Source organism: Homo sapiens, chromosome 11 (genome assembly GCF_000001405.40).
Source record: "Homo sapiens chromosome 11, GRCh38.p14 Primary Assembly".
Taxonomy (NCBI): Eukaryota; Metazoa; Chordata; class Mammalia; order Primates; family Hominidae; genus Homo; species Homo sapiens.
Window position 1 is genome coordinate 100,282,421 of NC_000011.10, and position 27,746 is coordinate 100,310,166.

The 27,746-nt window shown below is 36.9% G+C and overlaps 1 protein-coding gene across 7 annotated transcripts in view; it reads left to right on the top strand.

The window, feature by feature from the left end:
• The window catches only part of CNTN5 (contactin 5), a 1,337,937-nt gene that overhangs the window by 1,261,472 nt on the left and 48,719 nt on the right, over nucleotides 1-27,746 (top strand). For 6 of the 7 annotated variants that reach the window (XM_017017926.2, NM_014361.4, XM_011542871.2 and 3 more), the window contains 3 exons: nucleotides 15,205-15,275; nucleotides 16,742-16,976; nucleotides 25,939-26,048. In XM_017017926.2, coding sequence (XP_016873415.1) covers nucleotides 15,205-15,275; nucleotides 16,742-16,976; nucleotides 25,939-26,048 — 416 coding nt within the window. Of the gene's footprint in view, nucleotides 1-15,204; nucleotides 15,276-16,741; nucleotides 16,977-25,938; nucleotides 27,283-27,746 lie in introns of those variants that run through there. The other variant, NM_001243271.2, reaches the window with a different exon arrangement.

Genomic DNA, 27,746 nt, shown 5'->3' on the forward strand with positions numbered 1-27,746 from the left:
TACTTTCTCCCAAACAAATGGAGTCTCTCTGTTCTGAGCCACCTGGAGCTGGGGATGAAGTGACATAAGTACCCTGGTGGCCACCACCACTGGAACTGTGCTGGGTCAGACCTGAAGCCAGTCCAGCAGTCGATCTCACCTATGGCCTGCTATAACCACTTGCTGGTGACTGCCTATGTTTGCTCAAGGCCCTGGGGCTCTACAATTAGCATGTGGCAAAGTGAGCCAGGCCAGTGTCCTTCCTTTCAGGGTGGTGAGTTCCCCTAGGGCCTAGGCGGATCCAGAGGTGCCATTCAGGAGCCAGGGACTACAGTCAAAATCCTTAGAAGTCTACTTGGTGTTCTATTGTACTGCAGCTGAGTTGACACTCAAACCACAAGGCACAGTCCTTCCCATTCTTCCCTCTCCTTTCCAAAGGCAGAGGAGCCTCACCACGTGGCCACTGCCACCACAAGCCCACAGGTAGTACTGCCAGTCTACTGCCAGTGTTCCCTTAAGGCCCAAGGTCTCTTAAGTTAGCTTTTGGCGAATGGTGCCTGGCCTAGAACTCACCCTTCAGGGCAATGGGCTCCCTTCTGTCCCTGGGCAGGTCCAGAAATGCTGTCAAAGAGTCAACTCCTGGGATCAGGGACCCCAAGAGCCCTCTTAGTTCTCTACACCTCTGTGGCTGAGCTGGTACCTAAGGTTCAAGACAAAGTCTCCTTTACTTTTCATAGCAGATGATTAATCCTGCCAAGACTGGGTCTTTCCCTTCAAGGTAGTGGGTTCCTTTCTTGCCCAGGATGTGTCTAGAAATGTCATACAGGAGCTAGGGTCTGAAAAGAGGGCTTCACAACTATGACCAGTGCCCTATTCTCCTGTGGCTGAGCTGGTATCCAAGAAGCAAGAAAAAGTTCTCCCCACTCTTCCTCCTTCTCTCCTAAAGTGGGAGGAAGGTATCTCTTATGGATCTGCAAGCTGTGCAGCCTGGACTTAGGAAAGGGGTGGCATCAACACTCCCCTAGCACTCTACCCCAGCTCACATTTTAGATGCCACATATTCTCCAAGTCCACTATCTCTGAGCCCAGTTCAACACAGGACTTGCCTAGGAGTTACAGTCCTTGTGGCCTAGACTACCTTTCAAGTTTATTTAGGGCCCCAGAGCACTTGAGCCTGTGGTGGTGAGGCTTTCAGGAATTCAAGTTCTGACCACTGATATGGAAGATTTCCCTCTGGCTAGGGATGGTTTAAATATTCCCTCCGGGCCGGGCGCTGTGGCTCACACCTGTAATCCCAGCACTTTGGGAGGCCGAGGTGGGTGAATAACCTGAGGTCAGGAGTTCGAGACCAGCCTGACCAACATGGTGAAACATCGTCTCTACTGAAAATACAAAAATTAGCCGGGCGCGGTAGCGGGCACCTGTAATCCCAGCTACTCGAGAGGCTGAGGCACAAGAATCACTTGAACCCAGGAGGCAGAGATTGCAGTGAGCCAAGATCGGGCCATTGCACTCCATCCTGGGTGACATAGCGAGACTCTGTCTCAAAAAAATAAAAAATTTAAATAAATAAATAAATAAATTCCCTCTGTGGGTGGGCATCAGCTGAATTTGGTCTGGTTTTGCTTTCTTCTATAACCAAGCGACACTGAATTTAATGTCTCACAATTGTTGCACTCTCCCTCTCCCAAGCAAACAGATTTTCTCTTCTGTGTTGTGGGGCCACTGCTGGGGAATGGAGGAGCGGTGGTCTCAGTGATTCAAGACTGTTTTTCCTACCTCTTCAGTGCATCTTTCAGCAATATGAAGTTTAAACCAAATACTGTGAGTGCTCACCTGATTTTTGGTTCTTACAAAAGTGAGTTTTATGTGTAGCAGTGTCCTTGCCAAGGGGACAATCAGTGGAGCCTTCTATTCTGCCATCTTGCTCTGCCACCATCTCCTATATTTAAGCTATATTTTCTTACAAGTTTTAGTTAGAGATTAGATAGATTGATAAATAAAGATAGACAGCCCTGTGTTTAATTTTTGAAATCTGTTAATATCATCAAACCAATATATAAATTTGGGATAGCATAATGTAAATACTTTCTCTATTATTTAAAAAGATGACACTCAGGACAAAAAAAATCACATTTGGGGAAATGAATCTGAAATACACACTGTGGGTGAAATGGAAAAATACATAAAGTAAATACAGCATTGTCAATTTTGTCATTTAATTGAATTTTAATATTCTATACGTTACATGTTCTTAATACGGTTGAAAAATAAATGAAAGGGAGAAAAGATATAGTTAACTACGTAACTTGTCATTCAGAAAGGTCTGATCTTCTCTGTAGTATAAAATTTCAATTATCTTCAAAGCTACTGGTATAAATCTCAATATTTGCAGTTTATTTCAAATTTTAATGAATTATATATACACACATGAATAAATATACATATATGCTTATGTGTGTATGTATCTTTTAAAGAAAAAGAAATTGCACCTATAATGAAAGGTTGGAGTTTCAACCTGGATTAACGTTCTACTGTGCCACTTAATAGCAGGGTGGACATAGGCAGGAAGTATGTCATTTAAGGCTTGAATTTCTCACTCATAAAATGGGGATACCACAACCTACTCCTTTTGACCATTCTATTAAATAAGATTTTTTAAATGCATGTAAAGAGCTTAGCATAGTGCCTGGCACATGATAAATGCTCAATATTATTGGAAGATATTTTATTGTATCACCTCCATCATTAATTTAAATGAGTTATTACTTTATTAAATGGAAATTTACAAACTAGTAATCATGAAAAAGTATATTTTTTCATATTGAGAAAACATTTTCAGAGTTAAACACGTTTGTTGATACAGTAAGAACCCTACGGTCTCTTGACTTGCAGCTCTGCAGTCAACTTCCCAAGATACCCTCACTGTGAGAAGTCTCCACTGCAGACAGCCAGCGTTCCATCATGCCCTATCATCCAGCCCACTAGAACAACAGGAGAGTCAAGAGAATGTTTTAGCACATGGCACACTCCACAGAGCATGCATGCCTTCTAAATCATCCTTGCAAACCCGTGGCTGGCCTTCCCATGATGCCTTTTCATCTTATCTAATTAGTACTATTTCTCAATATGTAGCCATTTTCTTTGGTTCTTGTAGCACAGACAAGGCGAAAGGAGTAGAGGAAAAGAAGTGTTGAATGAAAGACTATGCTAACACATTTTTCCACACATTCAAATGTCTTTGCTTTCTAGTTATTTTTTTCCTACACTGTATTCCGTCCCTTCATTCTCTTCTGACTCAAATGGAAAATTATACACATATTTCTGGCCACAAAAGGAAAAATACTGAGGAGCCAAGATGGCCGAATAGGAACAGCTCCGGTCTACAGCTCCCAGCGTGAGCGACGCAGAAGACGGGTGATTTCTGCATTTCCATCTGAGGTACCGGGTTCATCTCACTAGGGAGTGCCAGACAGTGGGCGCAGGTCAGTGGGTGCGCGCACCGTGCGCGAGCCGAAGCAGGGCGAGGCGTTGCCTCACTTGGGAAGCGCAAGGGGTCAGGGAGCTCCCTTTCCGAGTCAAAGAAAGGGGTGACAGACGCACCTGGAAAATCGGGTCACTCCCACCCTAATACTGCGCTTTTCCGATAGGCTTAAAAAACGGCCCAACACGAGATTATATCCCGCACCTGGCTGGGAGGGTCCTACGCCCACGGAGTCTCGCTGATTGCTAGCACAGCAGTCTGAGATCAAACTGCAAGGTGGCAGCCAGGCTGGGGGAGGGGCGCCCGCCATTGCCCAGGCTTGCTTAGGTAAACAAAGCAGCAGGGAAGCTCCAACTGGGTGGAGCCCACCACAGCTCAAGGAGGCCAGCCTGCCTCTGTAGGCTCCACCTCTGGGGGCAGGGCACAGACAAACAAAAAGACAGCAGGAACCTCTGCAGACTTAAATGTCCCTGTCTGACAGCTTTGAAGAGAGCAGTGGTTCTCCCAGCACGCAGCTGGAGATCTGAGAACGGGCAGACTGCCTCCTCAAGTGGGTCCCTGACCCCTGACCCCCAAGCAGCCTAACTGGGAGGCACCCCCCAGCAGGGGCACACTGACACCTCACACGGCAGGGTATTCCAACAGACCTGCAGCTGAGGGTCCTGTCTGTTAGAAGGAAAACTAACAAACAGAAAGGACATCCACACCAAAAACCCATCTGTACATCACCATCATCAAAGACCAAAAGTAGATAAAACCACAAAGATGGGGAAAAAACACAACAGAAAAACTGGAAACTCTAAAAAGCAGAGTGCCTCTCCTCCTCCAAAGGAACGCAGTTCCTCACCAGCAACGGAACAAAGCTGGATGGAGAATGACTTTGATGAGCTGAGAGAAGAAGGCTTCAGATGATCAAATTACTCTGAGCTACGGGAGGACATTCAAACCAAAGGCAAGGAAGTTGAAAACTTTGAAAAAAATTTAGAAGAATGTATAACTAGAATAACCAATACAGAGAAGTGCTTAAAGGAGCTGATGGAGCTGAAAACCAAAGCTCGAGAACTACGTGAAGAATGCAGAAGCCTCAGGAGCCGATGTGATCAACTGGAAGAAAGGGTATCAGCAATGGAAGATGAAATGAATGAAATGAAGCGAGAAGGGAAGTTTAGAGAAAAAAGAATAAAAAGAAATGAGCAAAGCCTCCAAGAAAATATGGGACTATGTGAAAAGACCAAATCTACGTCTGATTGGTGTACCTGAAAGTGTTGGGGAGAATGGAACCAAGTTGGAAAACACTCTGCAGAATATTATCCAGGAGAACTTCCCCAATCTAGCAAGGCAGGCCAACATTCAAATTCAGGAAATACAGAGAATGCCATAAAGATACTCCTCGAGAAGAGCAACTCCAAGACACATAATTGTCAGATTCACCAAAGTTGAAATGAAGGAAAAAATGTTAAGGGCAGCCAGAGAGAAAGGTCGGGTTACCCTCAAAGGGAAGCCCATCAGACTAACAGCGGATCTCTCGGCAGAAACCCTACAAGCCAGAAGAGAGTGGGGGCCAATATTCAACATTCTTAAAGGAAAGAATTTTCAACCCAGAATTTCATATCCAGCCAAACTAAGCTTCATAAGTGAAGGAGAAATAAAATACTTTACAGACAAGCAAATGCTGAGAGATTTTGTCACCACCAGGCCTGCCCTAAAAGAGCTCCTGAAGGAAGCACTAAACATGGAAAGGAACAACCGGTACCAGCCGCTGCAAAATCATGCCAAAATGTAAAGACCTTCGAGACTAGGAAGAAACTGCATCAACTAATGAGCAAAATAACCAGCTAACATCATAATGACAGGATCAAATTCACACATAACAATATTAACTTTAGATGTAAATGGACTAAATGCTCCAATTTAAAGACACAGACTGGCAAATTAGATAAAGAGTCAAGACCCATCAGTGTGCTATATTCAGGAAACCCATCTCACGTGCAGAAACACACACAGGCTCAAAATAAAAGGATGGAGGAAGATCTACCAAGCAAATGGAAAACAAAAAAAGGCAGGGGTTGCAATCCCAGTCTCTGATAAAACAGACTTTAAACCAACAAAGATCAAAAGAGACAAAGAAGGCCATTACATAATGGTAAAGGGATCAATTCAACAAGAAGAGCTAACTATCCTAAATATATATGCACCCAATACAGGAGCACCCAGATTCATAAAGCAAGTGCTTAGTGACCTACAAAGAGACTTAGACTCCCACACATTAATAATGGGAGACTTTAACAACCCACTGTCAACATTAGACAGATCAACGAGACAGAAAGTCAACAAGGATACCCAGGAATTGAACTCAGCTCTGTACCAAGTGGACCTAATAGACATCTACAGAACTCTCCACCCCAAATCAACAGAATATACATTTTTTTTCAGCACCACACCACACCTATTCGAAAATTGACCACATACTTGGAAGTAAAGCTCTCCTCAGCAAATGTGAAAGAACAGAAATTATAACAAACTATCTCTCAGACCACAGTGCAATCAAACTAGAACTCAGGATTAAGAACCTCACCCAAACCGCTCAACTACATGGAAACTGAACAACCTGCTCCTGAATGACTACTGGGTACACAAAGAAATGAAGGCAGAAATAAAGATGTTCTTTGAAACCAACGAGAACAAAGACACAACATACCAGAATCTCTGGGACACATTCAAAGCAGTGTGTACAGGGAAATTTATAGCACTAAATGCCCACAAGAGAAAGCAGGAAAGATCCAAAATTGACACCCTAACATCACAATTAAAAGAACTAGAAAAGCAAGAGCAAACACATTCAAAAGCTAGCAGAAGGCAAGAAATAACTAAAATCAGAGCAGAACTGAAGGAAATAGAGACACAAAAAACCCTTCCAAAAATTAATGAATCCAGGAGCTGGTTTTTTGAAAGGATCAACAAAATTGATAGACCGCTAGCAAGACTAATAAAGAAAAAAAGAGAGAAGAATCAAATAGACACAATAAAAAATGATAAAGGAGATATCACCACCGATCCCACAGAAATACAAACTACCATCAGAGAATACTACAAACACCTCTACGCAAATAAACTAGAAAATCTAGAAGAAATGGATAAATTCCTCGAAACATACACTCTCCAAAGACTAAGCCAGGGAGAGGTTGAATCTCTGAACAGACCAATAACAGGATCTGAAATTGTGGCAATAATCAATAGTTTACCAACCAAAAAGAGTCCAGGACCAGATGGATTCACAGCCGAATTCTACCAGAGGTACAAGGAGGAACTGGTACCATTCCTTCTGAAACTATTCCAATCAATAGAAAAAGAGGGAATCCTCCCTAACTCATTTTATGAGGGCAGCATCATCCTGATACCAAAGCCGGGCAGAGACACAACGAACAAAGAGAATTTTAGACCAATATCCTTGATGAACATTGATACAAAAATCCTCAATAAAATACTGGCAAACCGAATCCAGCAGCACATCAAAAAGCTTATCCACCATGATCACGTGGGCTTCACCCCTGGGATGCAAGGCTGGTTCAATATACGCAAATCAATAAATGTAATCCAGCATATAAACAGAGCCAAAGACAAAAACCACATGATTATCTCAATAGCAGCAGAAAAAGCCTTTGACAAAATTCAACAACGCTTCATGCTAAAAACTCTCAATAAATTAGGTGTTGATGGGACGTATCTCAAAATAATAAGAGCTATCTATGACAAACCCACAGCCAATATCATACCGAATGGGCAAAAACTGGAAGCATTCCCTTTGAAAACTGGCACAAGACAGGGATGCCCTCTCTCACCACTCCTATTCAACATAGTGTTGGAAGTTCTGGCCAGGGCAATCAGGCAGGAGAAGGAAATAAAGGGTATTCAATTAGGAAAAGAGGAAGTCAAATTGTCCCTGTTTGCAGATGACATGATTGTATATCTAGAAAACCCCATTGTCTCAGCCCAAAATCTCCTTAAGCTGATAAGCAACTTCAGCAAAGTCTCAGGATACAAAATCAATGTGCAAAAATCACAAGCATTCTTATACACCAACAACAGACAGAGAGCCAAATCATGAGTGAACTCCCATTCACAATTGCTTCAAAGAGAATAAAATACCTAGGAATCCAACTTACAAGGGATGTGAAGGACCTCTTCAAGGAGAACTACAAACCACTGCTCAAGGAAATAAAAGAGGATACAGACAAATGGAAGAACATTCCATGCTCCTGGGTAGGAAGAATCTTTATCGTGAAAATGGCCATACTGCCCAAGGTAATTTACAGATTCAATGCCATCCCCATCAAGCTACCAATGCCTTTCTTCACAGAATTGGAAAAAACTACTTTCAAGTTCATATGGAACCAAAAAAGAGCCTGCATTGCTAAGTCAATCCTAAGCCAAAAGAACAAAGCTAGAGGCATCACACTACCTGACTTCAAACTATACTACAAGGCTACAGTAACCAAAACAGCATGGTACTGGTACCAAAACAGAGATATAGATCAATGGAACAGAACAGAGCCCTCAGAAATAATGCCGCATATCTACAACTATCTGATCTTTGACAAACCTGACAAAAACAAGCAATGGGGAAAGGATTCCCTATTTAATAAATGGTGCTGGGAAAACTGGCTAGCCATATGTAGAAAGCTGAAACTGGATCCCTTCCTTACACCTTATACAAAAATCAATTCAAGATGGATTAAAGACTTAAACGTTAGACCTAAAACCATAAAAACCCTAGAAGAAAACCTAGGCATTACCATTCAGGACATAGGCATGGGCAAGGACTTCATGTCTATAACACCAAAAGCAATGGCAACAAAAGCCAAAATTGACAAATGGGATCTAATTAAACTAAAGAGCTTCTGCACAGCAAAAGAAACTACCATCAGAGTGAACAAGCAACCTACAAAATGGGAGAAAATTTTCACAACCTACTCATCTGACAAAGGGCTAATATCCAGAATCTACAATGAACTCAAACAAATTTACAAGAAAAAAACAAACAACCCCATCAAACAGTGGGCAAAGGACATGAACAGACACTTCTCAAAAGAAGACATTTATGCAGCCAAAAAACACATGAAAAAATGCTCATCATCACTGGCCATCAGAGAAATGCAAATCAAAACCACAATGAGATACCATCTCACACCAGTTAGAATGGCAATCATTAAAAAGTCAGGAAACAACAGGTGCTGGAGAGGATGTGGAGAAATAGGAACACTTTTACACTGTTGGTGGGAATGTAAACTAGTTCAACCATTGTGGAAGTCAGTGTGGCGATTCCTCAGGGATCTAGAACTAGAAATACCATTTGACCCAGCCATCCCATTACTGGGTATATACCCAATGGACTATAAATCATGCTGCTATAAAGACACATGCACACGTATGTTTATTGCAGCACTATTCACAATAGCGAAGACTTGGAACCAACCCAAATGTCCAACAATGATAGACTGGATTAAGAAAATGTGGCACATATACACCATGGAATACTATGCAGCCATAAAATATGATGAGTTCATGTCCTTTGTAGGGACATGGATGAAATTGGAAATCATCATTCTCAGTAAACTATCGCAAGAACAAAAAACCAAACACCGCATATTCTCACTCATAGGTGGGAATTGAACAATGAGATCACATGGACACAGGAAGGGGAATATCACACTCTGGGGACTGTGGTGGGGAAGGGGGAGGGATAGCATTGGGAGATATACCTAATGCTAGATGACGAGTTAGTGGGTGCAGCGCACCAGCATGGCACATGTATACATATGTAACTAACCTGCACAATGTGCACATGTACCCTAAAACGTAAAGTATAATAATAAATAAATAAATAAATAAATAAATAAATAAATAAAAAATATAAATAAATAAAAAATTAAAAAAAGGAAAAATATTTTTTCTACATTTGAAAACTCAAACGCCAATAAATAGCTGTAGAGGTTAAAACAAACAAACAAACAACAACAAAAAAAAGGTTTTTTCTTCTCCCGCCATTGCTCTCCACTATGCTCAATGTGATCCCAAACCTCAGCCTCAAATAAATCCTAAGCACTTTTACGTACTAGAGCAGTCGCATTTTCAGGTATTTAAAAATTCCAGTTTAATTTAATTAAAAAAATTTAATCTCACATCTAATTCCATGGTCTCTCATTCCTTCCCAGCACAGACCTGACCCAACAGCTATGATCTGTCTTTTCTTTCTTCTTTCCACTTTATTTTGTACTTTCCAGCGGTGCTCTGGTACTTTCCAGGTCAGACAAGAAGGAGAAAAGCTTCCACTTAGATGGTACAATTTGTGGTTCTCACATGGGTGTTAAATGTTCAACATGATGGCGTTTATCCACATACTGCTGCTTTCTCTCATGGGGTGCATTGAGTTCTTTGAAGACATCTTGCCCCCTAGCAGGCAGCCTTATTGGGTGTGATCCTAACAACCCTATTCAAACCTATCTTCATGACCACTTGGTTCACAGTAACCATTTCACATTCCTGGGCTGCCAAAATCTAGAATTATAGGATATTCTCAGGAACTATTATTTATTGTTCTTCATTTGAAGTTTCCTCAAGTAGCTCAGTATGAAATTGAGGTATTCTAGAAAACTCCGAAACTCAGTACAAGGTGTGATAGGTAAGCATCTGAACTTCTCTATAGTGGTTGTCTTGCTCCTGTCCTTATTTACCTTGATGAAGAAATAATATCCCCACTTCTCTATTGACAGCTGGGGTTGGAGGGAGATGCCATAGCAAATCCATCTTCTAAACTGACAACCTTGTTTTAAGACAGCATTACTTGTGCATGTATGTATATGAGTTGGAGGCAGGCAATGAGAAAGAGTCATAAAATTGGTTTCCCTAATTCGTAGCGAGACTAGTTTTCTTCAGCCACTCTCAATTCAGCATCTGAGATTACATGTGACTCATTCCAAGTTCAGAAAACAGTCGTTTAATGTCCTCTTACAATTTCTTAAGTTGTACATTACCTTCTGACACCTACAAAGGATCCTGCTCTGTTGACATTTGTATTTTCACAGTTCTTGTCCATGATGGTGACTTAGAAAATTCCCTTGAGTTCAAAAATTATGGAAGAGACACAATGGAATATTATTATAAGATGGGCTGGATTAGTTTTATCTGGGGGTATGTGAATAGGCTTTGTATATATTTCTTCTTGCCTTTTCTTTCTCCCCTTTTTAGCAACAAATCTTATACAAAGATTATTTTACCTATTCTTTGCATTTAGTTCATTGTGGATCCATATAAACAAAGGGAATATGAGTTGAGATAAATACCATTCATTTTGTACACTCACCTCCTATCTTCTTGACTATTGCCACTTACAAGGAGGTTTATAAATCAGAAAATTCTTACATTTCCTGAAATATCCTAGCAATCTCTTTCAGAAATTCAAATAGGTATTTTGCCTAGATTTCCAGATTGAAACAAACTATGGCAAAACTGAAAGCATAATTCCTTTGGTACTACCAAAACAATATTATTGGAATATCCAAGAAGGATATTCTGTTTCAAGATTGCGTGTGTATAGACTCACGATGAACTTTCAGCACTTCTCATAGAAGACTTCACCACTTTCTCTTTTTCGAATCTAAACAGAAAATAATATTAAGTAATATTTATTGATTATAATTCCGGGTACTGTGATGAATAATCATGAAAATAACCTTAAGAAACAGGTATAATTAGTATCTCCATGAGACAATGGAAATACACGTTAAAAAATATTTTCAGCCAAGCAATTAGAGGGGTAGAACTAGGATTCAAACCCAGATCTTTCTTACTCCCACTTCTCACTCCCACAAGAAAACCTTTACCGTTTGTACATACCACTTTATCTACCCTAATAAGAATAAAAGCATTATGTAAACTCTTAAGGAAATAACACTGGTTTTTCTGGGCGGGTTGGGGGATGGTGGGCAAGGGGAACTCCTTCAATTTAACTCTTTCTGTAAACTAAGCCTGAGTTAGAATCAATTAATTGAAATTTTCCTGTGCTACATACTTCAATTTGAGTAGAAAAAAAAATTATTTTTTAAATGTTCCTCTTGACTTCTACCTTTGCTATATAAACTCCCTCCCTTCCCTCTTTTCATTCTTCAGCACCTTTCTTTCCAAACCAATTGCCAGATAACCATTAAGCTCCAAAATTGTATGGCCTGTCCCAGGTCTCGAAAAGAGCTGTATTTTTTAATGAGTGGGGTAAGCGCTTACTGTAATATAAATTGGAAATTTTTCAGGTAAAAAAAGATTGGTAAATGATTTCATTACATTTTATTTTAGTTAAACGCTAATTAAAGCATATTATTAGTGTGACTCACTTTGTTCAACCTACTGAGAAGTCCTTTGATATTCTGCCGTGGCTAAACTAAGGTAGTACACTATATTTTTTTCATTCTGTGTTTACAAGAATGCTTTCAATGTTTAAGAGGAAAAGAGACATGAGTTTATATTTCAACATGCCAGGTAAGACTTAAAACAGCTAGGCATTTGTAGCTTGTGGATAAAGTATCAATTACATTATCCACTAATGGATGAGCTTTGCTCAGAAAGAAATTCAGAAGAATCAGACTTAAACCTGCTAACCATATGTATAAACTTGATTCTCTAAGCTAATATGCTCAAGACATTTATCAGTAGTTGACTGAGGAAGAAGAGTCTAGCTGCTTAATCCTGGATTCAAATTTTATTAATTATATTTAAAATATATTTTGTTTTAAAGTAAATATGTATTTCTCTGGACTCAGCAAAAGCATTTATTAGATATTTGATTATATTAATTTTGTGCTTCTAGCAAGAATTATAGAACTTTTACACCATAAGCGCTCCGAAAGATTAAGTCAAATCCCTTCAGATCAGGAATATGTTGTTTTATAAAGGGATATAATTAAAACCAGTGGACTCCATCAGTGCAGAGATAATAACTGTGTGCCACCAACTTGAAAAGAAAATGAATGTACATGGGTTTCGCTGATTAGCTGCATGTAATTAGGAAATTTAAGCCAATTGGAATTAGAGTACCCAATTCAAACACTGTGCCCATGACAACAAAACACTGCGTGAGCTGCAGCTATTACAGCCTAAAGTTTTCCATTAGTGAATCCGATTATATCTAGTAAACTTTTTTTAAAATTTGAGTAGCTGTTACTTATACACATATGCTATTAAAACACGGTGAGCCATAATGCCTCTCTTGTCAGTTATTGTTCATTAAAATTGGAGGTAAGGTAAGAGAAGGATGATCTTATTTCTTTACATTAAGTTGAAGATGGGCTATCTTGTCTTGAAAATAAATTAGCAGCAGTAAGAAAACCTCACGGAGCTGATTTCAAGTAGTAAAACAAATGTTTTTAAAACTTAGATCATTAGTTGAAATTTGAAATCACATACTTTCAAAAAATGAATTAAATAGAAGTGAATCAAATCATAGAAGAAAGCCCTCTTTTGCTTTCTTAGTTTCTCAAAATGGAAATTTTCCCCAAAATGTTCACTTGTTTTTTTTTAATTTTTTACTCACAAAGTTAAAACTTTTAAAAATCTAAATTGGTAAATTGTTTTTTTAAAAATAAAAGTATCAATGGATGTGAAACAATACTACCAAAGCTTCAACAGTTTTGATTTCAAATAGTTACTTTGTTTTATTCTATTAATATCTTTTAAATAGGCTTCTAGATGTTGACTAGAGAGCCTAGAGCCTACTCTAAAACTGTAATCTAGAGTTTCTGAGCATCCTTTTTTTTTAGATGATGTTTTAGGGTTGAACAAAGTAGAAAAGGATCTTCAATGCCTAGTCTTTCCACAGAAACTTATGATCATAGGAATGATGTCCTCAAAGAAGAGGATTCAAAGCCCTAAATTTAGAGTACAGATTTAGTCCAATTTAATAGACAAAGTACTGGGTCTGGTATACATTACCCATAATGTTATTTAAATGTGAGTTTTCAGAGATAAATGTGAGGAGTGTATGTGTGTATGTATGTGTGTGTATATACATTTAAAAAAACAAAAATACTAAGAGAAGCAGTAATGGCATGATATCACTAAATTATTAATATATTTTATCCACTATTTATTTGACTATGCTTTGATGGTCACAATATTCAGAAGTCTGAGATTAGCAAAAAAGGCAATGTTTGAAAATTTGGATCCCTGTCCTTTTACATATACAGTTAAACTAGCTCCATTCTTGTGTGTCTTACCCGTAACATTGAGCAGAAAATAAATTTAGACTAATACTACATAACAGTGGTTTTTCAGACATGGTTATAAGGCATACTGATATCTCACAGTCTGTTACATGTGGCAACAACTATGACTACTAATACGTAACTCAATAAATGATTTGTTTGCTGTTCATATAAATTAGGTCATATTTACAGTTATTGCTCTAATTGCATCATTTTTCTCAGTTGAATTCCATGTGATTTCTTGAATGAGAGAAAAAAAGGGTATCCAATTCCATGCAATTCTGAGGGAATCCGTGAGATGAACTCCACATATGAATAATCCTCAGTATGTATGTAACAGTGAAAGAATAAAGATTGGTAACTGCTGCTGCATAATCCTATATTGGTAGCAGCTGCATGTGCCTGAGCAAGAGAATTGTGTTCATGGAGAAAAGGGCCAAACGATACTGAAACGTAGACCCTGACAAAGGAAGGTTATTTATTTCAATGGAGCCAATTATATATTCACAGGTTTTGCTCACCCTCTTTTCTGGCCCAAGGAGAATTTGTTTTCTTCCTTTCCAGGAGTATATAAATTCCACTTCAGTTTTTCTGGTGTATAAAAGGCTGTGTGAATACCTACCAGTAATTAATAGCCTTTCATTCCAAGTAAGTAATATATAGGAGTGAATTTATTGTTTATGAGTATATCAATATCGTTTAAAAATGATATGCCGGAATAGAAAGGCAACACTGAAGTGTAAAATTGTTAATGCAGGCTCATAGCCTGTAAAATGATTTCTTTTAATAGTTTTCTTCATTTAAAAGTTCTTCATTTGAAAATGTTCCCTTTCAACTGCAGATTTCATGGTTTGGTGCAATGAAGGGGAAATTTATTCCTTTGACACATTTATTCTTTTAATAGTTATTCATTTGAAAAAGTTTCACTGGTTGCCTATAAATTTTGCAGTTTGCAGAGAGATTCATTCTTGACAGATTTTTTAAAATGTTTATTCATTTAAGTAGTTTCTCACTCCATGGAATTGTTGCTAAGGTTTAACAACAACAAAAGAAATGTACTGAAGCTTCCTGGGGGTTCTGGTAAGGCAGTAATGCTAATCTTGACCTGTGGATTTTTCAGTGGCTCTGCAAGCCCCGGGATAACAAAAAAGAGTCACGTCATTAGCAAAGAGGATAACAGTGAGCAATTTTAAGGACAAAATTTACCTAATCATTATTAGATGTTCTTAGCTATAGTGTTAATTATTATTTAGAAATCACTACCACAGAGCATTTTCAAGAGGCATGGTGCAATAAGTGGTCATGAAAAAAAAAGTGTATCAAAATCTGCCACATAGATTTGAAAGCAGGGTGTTTCTGTCACCAATATTTTGTTTTAATCTTTAATATGACCATTCTGACTTCAAACAAACTTCTGACTTATCTCAGGATTTTATCCAACGTAGGTTGGGAGTTTTTTTCTCCTCACTCTCCACCCATTTTTATCCACAGTTCCGAAGACAGCACCCACCAATGTAAGCGGAAGAAGTGGAAGAAGGCATGAGTTAGTCATTGCCTGGGAGGTAAGAAAAACACATCCTCTCACAAATTACTCCACGTGTTTGTTTGGCTTAGTGTGATATTTAATTATTTTATGATTAAGCAGTCCACTTGATTCATTTAGAGGCTAAAAACAGTGGGAGGAAGGAATGAACCACTGCTGAATAAATGCCACGTTACCCTGGTTATCTCATTTAACCCATACAACAATCTTATCAGTTGGAATGATTTTCTTCATTTTACAAATCATGAAACTGAGGCACTGTTACATATTTTCCTAATAAACAGAATTGTGACTTTGATTACAAAATTTGTGTCATTTTATCTATCTCATCATATGCCTCCAAAGTATCATTTGTCAAGGAAAAAGAGTGGAGATGAAGGGGGAGGGGGTGTGAAGAATACATTTATTTTCCATGAAGCCACCTTCCTTTTTTGATGTTAAATAACCTTATTATTAAATGTAAATAGCTCACAGAGATCTTAGAATATATAGAAATGGAAATGCCTGTTAGAGTAAATAGAGCAACTCCTTGACAATCTCTAAGAACAATGAGAAAGTATACAGAGATCTCTTTTTCCAGTAAGAATTATTCCATGAGCACATAATCTGTCCTATTTTTTTTGTCCATTCCCCCTTTTCTTCGATAAAACTTCATATATTTTTTTGATGTCTACAGAGGTATTAACTTTCCAATAGCTGACCTTCACTGAGACCAGATCTCTCTAAATGGAATTGCCTTTCCATGTAAGCTTTAATATAACGGGCTTTGTTTCTTTGCCACCACTCAATACATGGCTTTTCTTCATATCAAAATTCAAGGAAAAAAACTACTTAGCAAATATTTATTGAGTATCTAGTGTGTGTGAAGCACTGTGCTAGACAGTGGCTGGTAACTTTTCCACATTGACTGGTCAATCACAATTACTCCTTTCTATGGTGTGCAGTTGAAGCCCATGTAACCAATTTAAATCTAAGCCATATAGCACAAGAAGCTTCTTGAATACCATAGTCCAACTTTTTCATGTCAGTAACCATAAAAGCAATTGCAAAGCACACTACAAAAAAGGTTTTAACATCATTATATCTTACTTTTGTGGTCTAAAGGGTTCTGCAGAGCATTACCAGTGACAAGATATTCCCGACCACCAGACCATAGGACAATTTTCCCCAACATGTTAATCCAAAGATCTTCATTTCATATACATGACTAATTGGAGCAAATTTGTTTCACTTCAAAAGTTTTCAATTCTCTTGAGAGTTTTTGTACATTTCAACTGATACAATTTTTCTTCTTTTACCTTTAAAGCTTTTTAACTTTCAAAGAAGTGCCAAAGTGATTGTACTATTTTGGCTTCCAATGTAGTATAAAGATTTGAGATTCTCCCTTTCTCTAGCTATCTATAATTTTTTTTAATTAAGAATTTGGAGAAAGTGGATTTTTAATCAATCATTTTGCTGATAATTAATTATATTTTTCTTCTTTAGCCAGTATCTGAAGAGTTTCAGAATGGGGAAGGCTTCGGCTATATTGTGGCTTTCAGACCCAATGGAACACGTGGCTGGAAGGAAAAAATGGTGACATCCTCTGAAGCTTCCAAATTCATTTATCGAGATGAAAGTGTCCCTCCTCTTACTCCCTTTGAAGTGAAAGTTGGCGTTTATAACAATAAAGGAGATGGGCCTTTTAGTCAAATTGTGGTCATCTGTTCAGCTGAAGGAGGTCAGTTTTTTTATTCCTATTATTTTTATTTAACATTTTACTTTGTTATACAAATAATCAGACACCTTTGTACACATATTAGAAAATACAAATAAGGCAAAATAAACTCATTCATAATCTCACTAAACTTTTTGGATATATATTTCCCAAACTTTTTTTAATTTTTTAAATTAAAAGTTGATTATTCCACATATGTTGCTTTAAGTTTTTCACATCCTAACAATATATGGCAAACATATATCCATGAAAACAACAATATCAGTAATCCCTGCAGTGTATTCCTTTCTCTGGGTGGACATTAAGCCAATCCTCTTTGGTTTGAAATTTAGATACTTTTATATTTTTCAATATATATGTAAAGTAGATTTAAATAAATGCTTCATTTATGTGACAAATAAATATTTATTTCTAACCCTATGCATAAAGCACTGTACTAATAAGGAAGTTTCAGACAGGGCTTTTTCTTGGAACCTTTTCAAACACATCATTAAATCCTATGGAAATCTTATGAAATAGACATTATTGCCTCCGTTATGTAGAAAGAGAAATTGACTTTCGGAAAAGTTAAAGAACGTGCTAAAGGTTACACTGCTTGTAACTGAGAATTAAATCCAGGTTTGTCTAACCACTAACTCCTTGATTTTTGTATAACTTGCTGCCTTCATATGCATGACCATGTTTAATTCACAAGATAGAACTCATAGGTAGGCAGTACCGAGTAGACAATATACCTATTTTACAGATGAGTAAACTGTAAAGTGGTTATACTCAATACATGATAGAGCTACAGTGGAAACCCTGCTTCCTACATCAAAGATACTGAATTATTTCAAGTTTTAATATAAAAATGCAATTTTCTGGGTGAAAGTATAATAATAGATCTAGCCCCCTAAAGTTAGCTTTTCCTCTTAGTCCTTCTTTTATTCAAATTCAGGATTTCAGTTAACCTTACAAGTGGGGGAAAAAAATGAGAAAAGGAAAAGACAGCCTTATGTTTCTTAAATTTACAAATGACTGAGAAAATGTTCTACCAAAGGCAGCATTCACTTTCCCCATACCAATAAGTGTGGTAAATATAAACTAACCCTTATACTTCCTCTGTGCCCACATGTAGGACTTGAACAGCTCAAGAGTATTATTCATAATTAATTATTATATCCCCCCATGAAGCTATGAGCTTCACGGGGGATATAAATATAGTCATGTGAATATTTAAAAACAAAGATAATGTTTGATTTAAGGAAGATGTAGTTTTTCAATAGTAAGCTGCCTCATATTTTTATAATATAGAGCCAAATTTTAAAGCAGAATCAGAAAGTTTATCTTAGCATAAGAATAACCAGGGAAGTGAAAAATCAAGTAATGGCAAGGAACTAGAGGTATTCTGATGAGATACCAATTGCACTTAGCATCTCAGATTTCTGATGTGTTTTCAGATAAAGTCCATATACCATGTTACTTATGTTATCTAATGTAAAGGTTAAAACCAAATATGAAATTGGAATCTCAAACCTTAATCTACATTTCAGGAAACTGAGTCTCAGAGAGGTTAAGTAACATGCTCAAATTCACACCAGTAAGTGACAGTTACAAGAAATGATAGTAAGTGACAGAGCTAGGATTTTAACCAGGTCTATATGACTGGAAAGCACATTTTTTAACTACTACACTATACTGCCTCATCAGGAATGTACACAATAGTGATATTTTCTATTATTTATTGCTCAAAAGATCTATTTTGAAGTATATGTGTTATTCAGAAAGTACATATTCTTTTTCCTTTTAAAATGTTGGAAACTAATTATCAATTACATAGCACCAAAGGTCGCATGAGAGATTAATTGGAGAAGTTTTTGAACACGCTTTGTATAGTAACAACAGTGCTGCCTTTAAGAAATTCAGCTTTGTAATTTCTTTGTCAATCTTTGCTTTGAAATTAATTTATAGCAGCCACCATGGGTTTTTTTACATTGTGTTTTCTTAAACTTGAAATGGCTTGCCTTTGGAAATTTCTCTTTCAAGCTAGATAGAAAATATGCATATTTTCTTTTAAAGACACTGAGGTTATTCCTGTAACATATTTCATAGTAATGTAACACTTCATTTATTTTAATCAACTGAAATATGAAATATATTAGGCAAATTAAATCTGGATAGAGTCCTTTGTTCTGACACTGAAATTCAAGCATATATTTGGCATTCGCTTACTAATTAAGTTTACAAATGTGGAACTTTATATGTAAATATGAGTAAAGTGTTAGCATCATTAGAGTGTGTCAACCAAGAAAGGCAGGACAAGGGAAAAGAAAAGCATTAACCTGAGCTCAAATCTGATCACACTAACTAGACCATCTTGGGCAGTTTATTCACCTCTCTGAGGCTTAGCTTCCTCCACTTTAAAAATGAAGGTCTCAAAATAGAACATCTCTGGAATCCTATACAAATCTAAAATTAAAACCCTGTCAATTTATTCTATATTCTAAAACATTATTTTAGCTGGAGCAGTGGCTTATGCCTATAATCCCAACACATTGGGAGGTTGAGGCAGGAGGATTGCTTGAGCCCAGGAATTTGAGGCTGCAGTGGGCTATGGCAATGATGGCTTCACTACATTGCAAACTGAGTGAAAGAGTGAGACCTTGTCTCAAAAAATAATAATAATAATAAGTGGATTAAAATAAAACATTCTTTGTAACAATTGTCCTAACATAGATAGCAATAATAGATCAACTTTTGCTATACAATAAAAAGGGAAAATCAACATTCTTTTTTAGTCACTTCGCAATTTGCTTTACTTAAAAAGGAGTGAGCATTTCAAAAATTAAACCATTTTAAAAAAGAGTAAAGGCCTGAAATAAACTTGTAAAATAATATATTATACTCTTGCCAGTGCAGGTTTCTCCCCTCAGTGTCTATGGATGTTCATACAGCTTCACAGTGTGTCTTTTATCATTATACTCTTGCCCAAAGCCCAACTAATCTGAGCGAAATTGTATTTCTCCAAAAGACAAATCCTGCTTCCTTATTCTTCCATTAACCCAATCCACTTGTTTATCACCTTGAAATTCCTCCACATTCTTAGATACAGTAAAGAACAAGAGGAGTGAGACTGCCTTACTATTTCTGTTTATGGGCTTAGTTCCTCCTCTTCCTTTCAAGCTTACCAGATACATGCCTTAAGCACTGTGAAAAAGCCACCTTTTCACAGCCGACACCAAGCTGGGAAGAAAAATGTCAAATGCAGCTACCAGAATTTATGTTATTGGGAGGGAAGCAGAGAACAGAAAAACTTACAAGGCACACCTTACAGTACTACTTCTCAACCTATTTCCCAATGGAACATGGATAATAGATGACATTCATACCCAGAACATGCTTTTATAAGTGTGTATGTGCATTCTCCACTCTATCCCTTTCTTTTCCTCCCAATAAAGCGTATCAGAATGCAAATAAAATTAATTATTTTAGAGAAAACCTTGAATTGACATGTTTTTCAAAGAAAAAATCATTTGCAAATGTTGATGCTTGATCAATAAATCACTTGGGATATGACCTTAACTCTCACAACTCTGAGGTTTACTATTGCCCTAGAGTACTGTCAGAAAAAGTTTCAAATGGTTTTTCTGCTAACACCCGTAAGCCTTTGAAACCTTTCAATGTTGCCACAAGAGAAGCAAACCTTAATGACTCTGTCAGTGCCAAGCAGCATCTGACATAAGCCCTGGAAAAAGAGATATTTGCCTGCCAAGATATCCATGTACCCTGTACATGTGTCAAATATCTTTGTCCTTTAAACCGAGCAAGGTTTATGTGCATTCCTAATCCTGACTTCAGACCTCTAGGGTATGATATAATTCTATACAACACGCTAATTTTGGAAACAATTCCATTTTTAAAAAAAAAGAATAGTGAAGTTTCAAAATAAGTTCTCAAAATGCATGGTAAAACTGATAAAAATTAATTTTTTTCCAAGATAAAAAATTAAATTGGCTTTTTCTTCCACATTTCAAGAAATAATGAATACTCAAACATACCATTTTCCACTTAGTTCTTCTCACCATAACTTCGGAAATGAAAAGAACTGGAGCATTCAATTAAACCTAATAGAAAAACAGAAGAAAAATTGATACAGTTAATTATAGGTTGAAAGATTTATTTACTTGTGATGCGCTTTATCCTTTATCCTTTATCCTTTCTAGTTTTCTTGGCTTTTGCCTTATCTGTAAAAAAATGTCCTGCTCATATATTTATTAAACCTAAAAAGCCTGTCCTCATTTGCAGAATATAATAGACAATTATCTCATTGCAAGTGGAGCTACCACAGCTCAAATTAAAACCTAATATTCCTAAGGTGTTATTCTCCAGATCCATCCTTAGCTGAAACTGAGCTCACTGGGATTTATGTGAACTTGAAAATTAATAAATTGACATGTTAGTTGTAAAATACAAGAAATAATTTCCTGTCTTTTCCAGATGATCTATTTGGATTAGTGCCTATAAAAGTTCAACTACAGCTGTCTTCACTGAATTTTTAAATAATGAAACCATACCCTTTCTCTCAAGGAGTTTATTAAAGTCTCTTTTGATTAATGCTGTTGCTCTAAGGGTCTCTTGGGAAGGGATCTCTTGGAAAGTCAGATGTATAATCAATATTACAAGCACATACCCCCATATTACATGAAGAACTCCAGCTGCTAGGTCACTTAATACAAATGTATCATCGAAATTCATGAACACGGTAATGCTGTTCAACATTTTTAATCTATCAGAAACAAACGTATCAATCAACCTGTCCACTACATATCCCAAGATTACAGTGAAGGAGTTAGCCATGGCCTAATTAATATCATCACAAGTAACAGAAAAAAAAAGAGGTTTCCCTCTAAGTCTTTGATTCCACTAGATATAATGCTAGTACAGTCTCAGAAATAAGTTTCTAAACTTTTATTAAATTACCCCAGTGTAATAGATGGGAGTGAGAGTGGCAGAAAACATACTGTGATTTAGAGATCAGAAGAGTTTTAGAGATGCCTGAATGTGACATGACTGAGAAGGAGCTGTGCAGCTATGGTTCAAAATTACCAAGGAGTCAGTGAAACAGGAATCAAAGGAGTTAATAGTGAGCCTGTGGCAGGGTTAAGTGGGTGATGACGGGGGTCTAGATGGTTTCTGGCAAGATCTAGAAATAGCCCAAATGGGGAGCCCAACACAAACATTCTTGAGAGAAGTTAGATGTGGAGTGGCAAGGGGAAAGAGAGAAATAGAAAAGGAAAAAGCATCAGGTAAGTGTAACATAGACATAGGCACAGAAGCAGAACAGTGTAGTGCTCAGGGCCTGACTACCTGTATTCAAATCCTCCCTCCACATTTAAGCAGCTGTGGGATCTTGAGTAAGTAGCTTAACCTCTCTTCTGCTTGATTTCTTCATCTGAAAAATGCTAGTAGTAGTAATATGGTTGTTGGGAAGACTAAGACATGGAAAGAATTAAGAACAGGGTTTGGAACACAGCAGAGCCTCAATAAATGGCAATTATTAGTATTTCGAGTTATCCCCACATCTATTTTGCCTCTTTTTTGTTTACTTCTAATCTTATTCTATCCATTCCTCTGTCAGTTATTTGGAAGCAACCAGGCAACAAAAGAGGGAACTATCTATGTTTTCTGTAAAACTTATTCTGTGACTTAAAATGGACCCTAGGAGATGAAGAATGAGCCAGCCTCTTTCTTTATGCCAATTTAAAAACAGAGGAAAGAGCATTTGAGACCCAAGTTCTAGCTTTTTCACAGCTGAAAGTAGAGTCTGGATAAATTAACCTCTGTACGTTTTACTTTTCTAATCTGCAAAATGAGAGCATGGATTTAAAACAGGTCCATTACTCCAAAGCACATAGGAGTGAGGTAAGAAATAAAAACAATAAAGTACTCCTTGTGTGAGACAATTGTGAGTGGGAGGAACTCTGGCATATGTAGAAGCACATGCCCAGACTGAGGGAGTCCACCACTAACCCTCATCGGCCAACACTCAAGAATTCAGGCTTCATACTGTCTCCTTTTATCCCCCAAAAGAAGCCAGAAATTCTTATTTTCAAATGTTGGCTTAAATTAATCTAACACATGATGTAGACAAACAAAATATGACTAAAGACCCACTGCCCCTGCATTTGTGACTTTGGAGCCAAGTGACTTCTAGAGTCCTTTCCATTTGCAACTTTCCATCATTCAGTTACAATGGGATGCCCAAAGCGAATGGCCAGTTTCAATGCAAGCCAGATGTTCTGTGATCCAGTTAGCTACTTGTGTCTGCAGACCAATTTTTGACCCAGTTGAAAATGTTCACTTGGGTATAAATAGTACATACTAAAATTTCTGGGAAAATCTGACAGAGGTCACTATTTTTACATGCTGAAATGTCTAATTCAGGTCAACATAGATCAACTTCTGATACCATTCAGGGATGTTCAATCTTTGGCTTCCCTGGGCCACACTGGAAGAAGAAGAATTGTTTTGGACCACACATAAAATACACTAATACTAACGATAGCTGATTAGCTAAAAAAAAAAAAAAAAATTACAAAAAAAATCTCGTAACGCTTTAAGAAGTTCACAAATTTTGGGGGGGGCACATTCAAAGCTGTCCTGGGCCAAGGCTGGACACACTTGATTAGATTAAGAGGGTGAAAAAAAATTAAAATGATTCTTCAGTTCTTGTTTGATTGATTCACTGTCATTCAGTTATATGAAATTATAACATGCAGCTCCCCAAAATGCAAATGTGAAATGTAGGTGTGGTATGACCCTGATTTAAAATCCTTAGAGCTTTTAAATAAAAGTTAAGGTGCTTGTTTGAGAGGCAGGTTCCTGAACATTTTTATTTACTTTAACATTTTTTTAAACTTTCTATTTGAGAAATACTTAAACTTGTACAGTACTACTGAAAGTTGATAGAGAAATAATTCCTTTCTTTGGAGATAAAGAGATATGGAAAGGTTGCTACCCCACCACATGTTTTGTGCTTCTGAAATTATTTATCCCCCTGCAATCTTCTTTGACAAAGATGTAATTGCTTCAGCAATATAAAAGCTGAAAGAAGGCATTTGGCACACAAATCTCTGTAATGCATTTATTCTGAAGAGAAGTAAAACTGCTACGGAATAGCAAACGATATTCAAAGTGTGGTTTCCTTTCAAATAAACTGTATCCTAAATCCCAGAGATCAAGTTGTACACACCTCAGAAACATCAACATTCTTTCATTTACTTGCAAAATCAAGAATTTTAACTCCCACTAAATAGCATGGGGAAAATGTCCATTGCAAGTCTGGTAATCAGAATTCTAGAATAAGATAGAAGATTTTTCCAGAATGCATGTTTTAAATTGGACAGATGCACAAATAATAGGGAGTTGGAAAGTGAGATGAGGGAAACCACGGAGCAAAAGAAAATAATAAAAAATATTCAAAAGGTGACAGAATGAGAAATTTCAACTTATACCATGGCAGGAATTAATGTCAGCTTCTGTGTAAAAATTAATGTGAATTTGCCAAAGCACTTTGAGATGACACAATTATAGCAAGTGTTTTTAACAAAGGTTTGGCCAAAAGAAAATCATTGCTTGGTGCAAAGGTGGACCAACCAAGTCTTTTGCAGGCTCCTTTTGCAGTAACAGGGTAGATATTTTTGACTGATATATTTCAATTAATAATATATAAAAGCGTTCCAGACACATGTATGACTAGCTTCTTTCAGAAAAGGAAAGACCTCAGAAAATGATTATGTCTTCAATGTTCGCCTCTTAACATTTTTATTTAGAACTCAATCTTTGCTATATGGTTCCATAAATTGAAAAAAAAAATTCATAGATGAAGCTCAACTCTAATCAGTGATAAAGGGTTAGTACCAAAATCTGTACCATTTTTATGGGGTAGAATTTTAATAGACTTTGTACAGAACTGTTTGAACTAATGTATGGCCTTTATTCTGCCATTTCATTTAACTTGTGTTTGTGACACAGTATTTATGATTCAGCCATGTCAACACTAGAAATATTTTGTTCCTCACATCAAGTGCAGCCTCGAATAAAGTACACCTTTTGATGGATGCCAGTCAGAAATTGTGTATTTCAAAAAAAAAAAATAGTGTGAAAGGTCACTGAATGTAGAAACAAATGAAAAGGTGGTTTTGAGCCACGGCACTGAACCCTTCGGGGACTTTTCTTTCCCACCTGCACCTGTCTTAAAAGTCAATGCATGCCTTTTAAATATCATGATTCATAACATATTCCTTATATAATCATGAAAATGTAGTCTTGTGGTTGGAACAACAAAAAGTATCTAATGAAATTTAGATACACAGAATAAAAATTTAGATGCACAGAATAAAAAATAAAATAATAATAATATGGTATTTTGTGAATGAACATTTTTAACGCCAAGCACAGTACTAAATATTTTATATATACATTCTAATTAAAGCCAACCTTTAAATCTATGAGATAAATACTCTCATTATAGTCATGTTATAGATGAGGGAACTAGGGCTTAGAAAGAGATAAAACAACTTACCCAAAGGTAAATAAATAGCTAAATAAATGTTTTAAGGCCAAAAGCAACAGCAGTGCAACAACAAAAAAAAGCAAACACTGACTCCATAGTCCATTTTTATAGGAATTATGCTAGACTGGCAGAAAATTTAAGTTCCCCAGAAATGTCTTAGCTAATCCAAGGATTAATGTCTTTGCCTGTCTTGCTAGATTTGTCATTTGTCATTGGTAAGGTATTGATGAGATTTGACCCAAGTATAGAAATCCAAAAGGATCACCTTTATATTTTGTTGTGTTTTTTATAACTACCACAGCACTTCATTTCAAAAATAAGGTAAGAGGAATTTAACACCTGACAGACTCAGGCGCAATACTTTGATGGACATAAACTTTTTATAATTGTGGTTTATTTTCCTTCATACAGAACCCAGTGCTGCTCCCACAGATGTCAAGGCGACAAGTGTGTCTGTGTCAGAGATTCTTGTTGCATGGAAACACATTAAAGAGAGTCTAGGAAGACCACAGGGATTTGAGGTATGAACAGAATGATTGAAAATAAGCCTTATTGTTTCTTCTGACATCACATTCTCCTAAAGAGAGGTTTTGGTGACACCTCAGAATTTCAACAGAATTTCTTAGAAATTTTGCTCTATGTTAAAGAAACTAAGAAATACTATTTTACTGGGATGTGTTATGTTGCTCATTAACTGGTTTATTTTTCAGTACAGTAGCTTCCGTAGCACTATGCAAAGATGTTTTTAAAAGATGAAATAGAGTTTTAGACAAAAGCAGGAGCTACAGGTAGATATTTAATTGTATCCAATTTACTGGTCATTTTAAAAGTTTTTGTGTCTTCCTTTCTAATAATTTAATGTATAAATACAAGTTTTCCTTTTGTACTTTATTGGTATCTCTTACCCTCAGTGCTGAATTATCAAATTTTGCTTGGAATTTAATGATCTGTATTGTATCTATGTATTCAGATAGTTTTTTTGGTCCCTTAAATGTTGCTATTTTTAAACATAGTTATTCCAGCCTTATAATGGTGAACATTTCATATCAAATGAATAACATCAATGAAATTTTAGCCTCCGCAGAGAATAGCAGATTGTGAGTAGTCTGTGAACATGAATATTTTATGATAACAAGGTTTGGCTTCTCACACAGCTCTTGTTCTTGTTCTTGCCTTGCTTGGCCAGTCATGGAGAGGAATTAGGGGGATAATGTCTAAAAGAAAAAAAGAATTAGCATCTGACCCAAGACTTTAGTTGCATTTAAAAAAATTTATTCTTACTTTTCCTCTGCTTCAGTTCCCATTAAGAGAAAATCATCTTGTGTCTTGAACAATGATCAAGTATAGGACTTGTATACTAACATGGTTTCCAGGCTGAAACATATTTTTAATTCTATTTGAGTTTTCAAATAATGCCCAACAATTATTTGATTAACATACAGCTGGCATTAAATAATGATTTCTATGATAAAAAAATTTATACAATCTTTCTAAGAGTTACAGCAAGAACAATTTATGGGAAACCATTACCTACTTATACAATATCATGGACTTATTTCTACAATCTTGCTTCAATTAATTATTTGGAATGATAATTTAGTATCTCATTATGATTGCATGTTTAATGTGATGAATATTTCTGTTTCTCCCAATCCATGCTTCAGGGACCATGTTTGTTCATCATTAAATCTCAGCAAATGATAATATATATATTTGGCCCATAACTGACCACAATAAATATGTTGAATGAATAAATGTTTGTGTGGCACAATTAGCCCCTTTCTATCCAACCGTAGAAGACACTGTGGTGGTTTGTCCAGTTTCCCTTCTCTATGGAGGAGGGACACGTGCCTCCTCCAACTGCTGTGAGTGTTGACTGCTAATGGTTCTCAGCTCCCACTATAGATAATTGCCCTCCACTGAGGAGAGCTACATTGCTTGGAAAGTGACCTCGCCACACTTAGTCAGCCTAAGATCAATGACTGACTGATACTTGTCTCTTACCTCAAGGAGGAAAGAACTTTATGGTGTAGTTTATGATACAGAGCCTTGCTGCGTGCATCAGGCCAAAGCCAGATTTCCTGGAACCACATTCTTGCTCAGCTCCCCATTCTGAGTTCCTCCCTTTTTAAACCTGTAAGCATCCTCACAGTAAATAATATGCACCAAAATCCCTATCTCAAGCTCTGCTTTTGGGGACTTCAACTGAAAAGAACTAC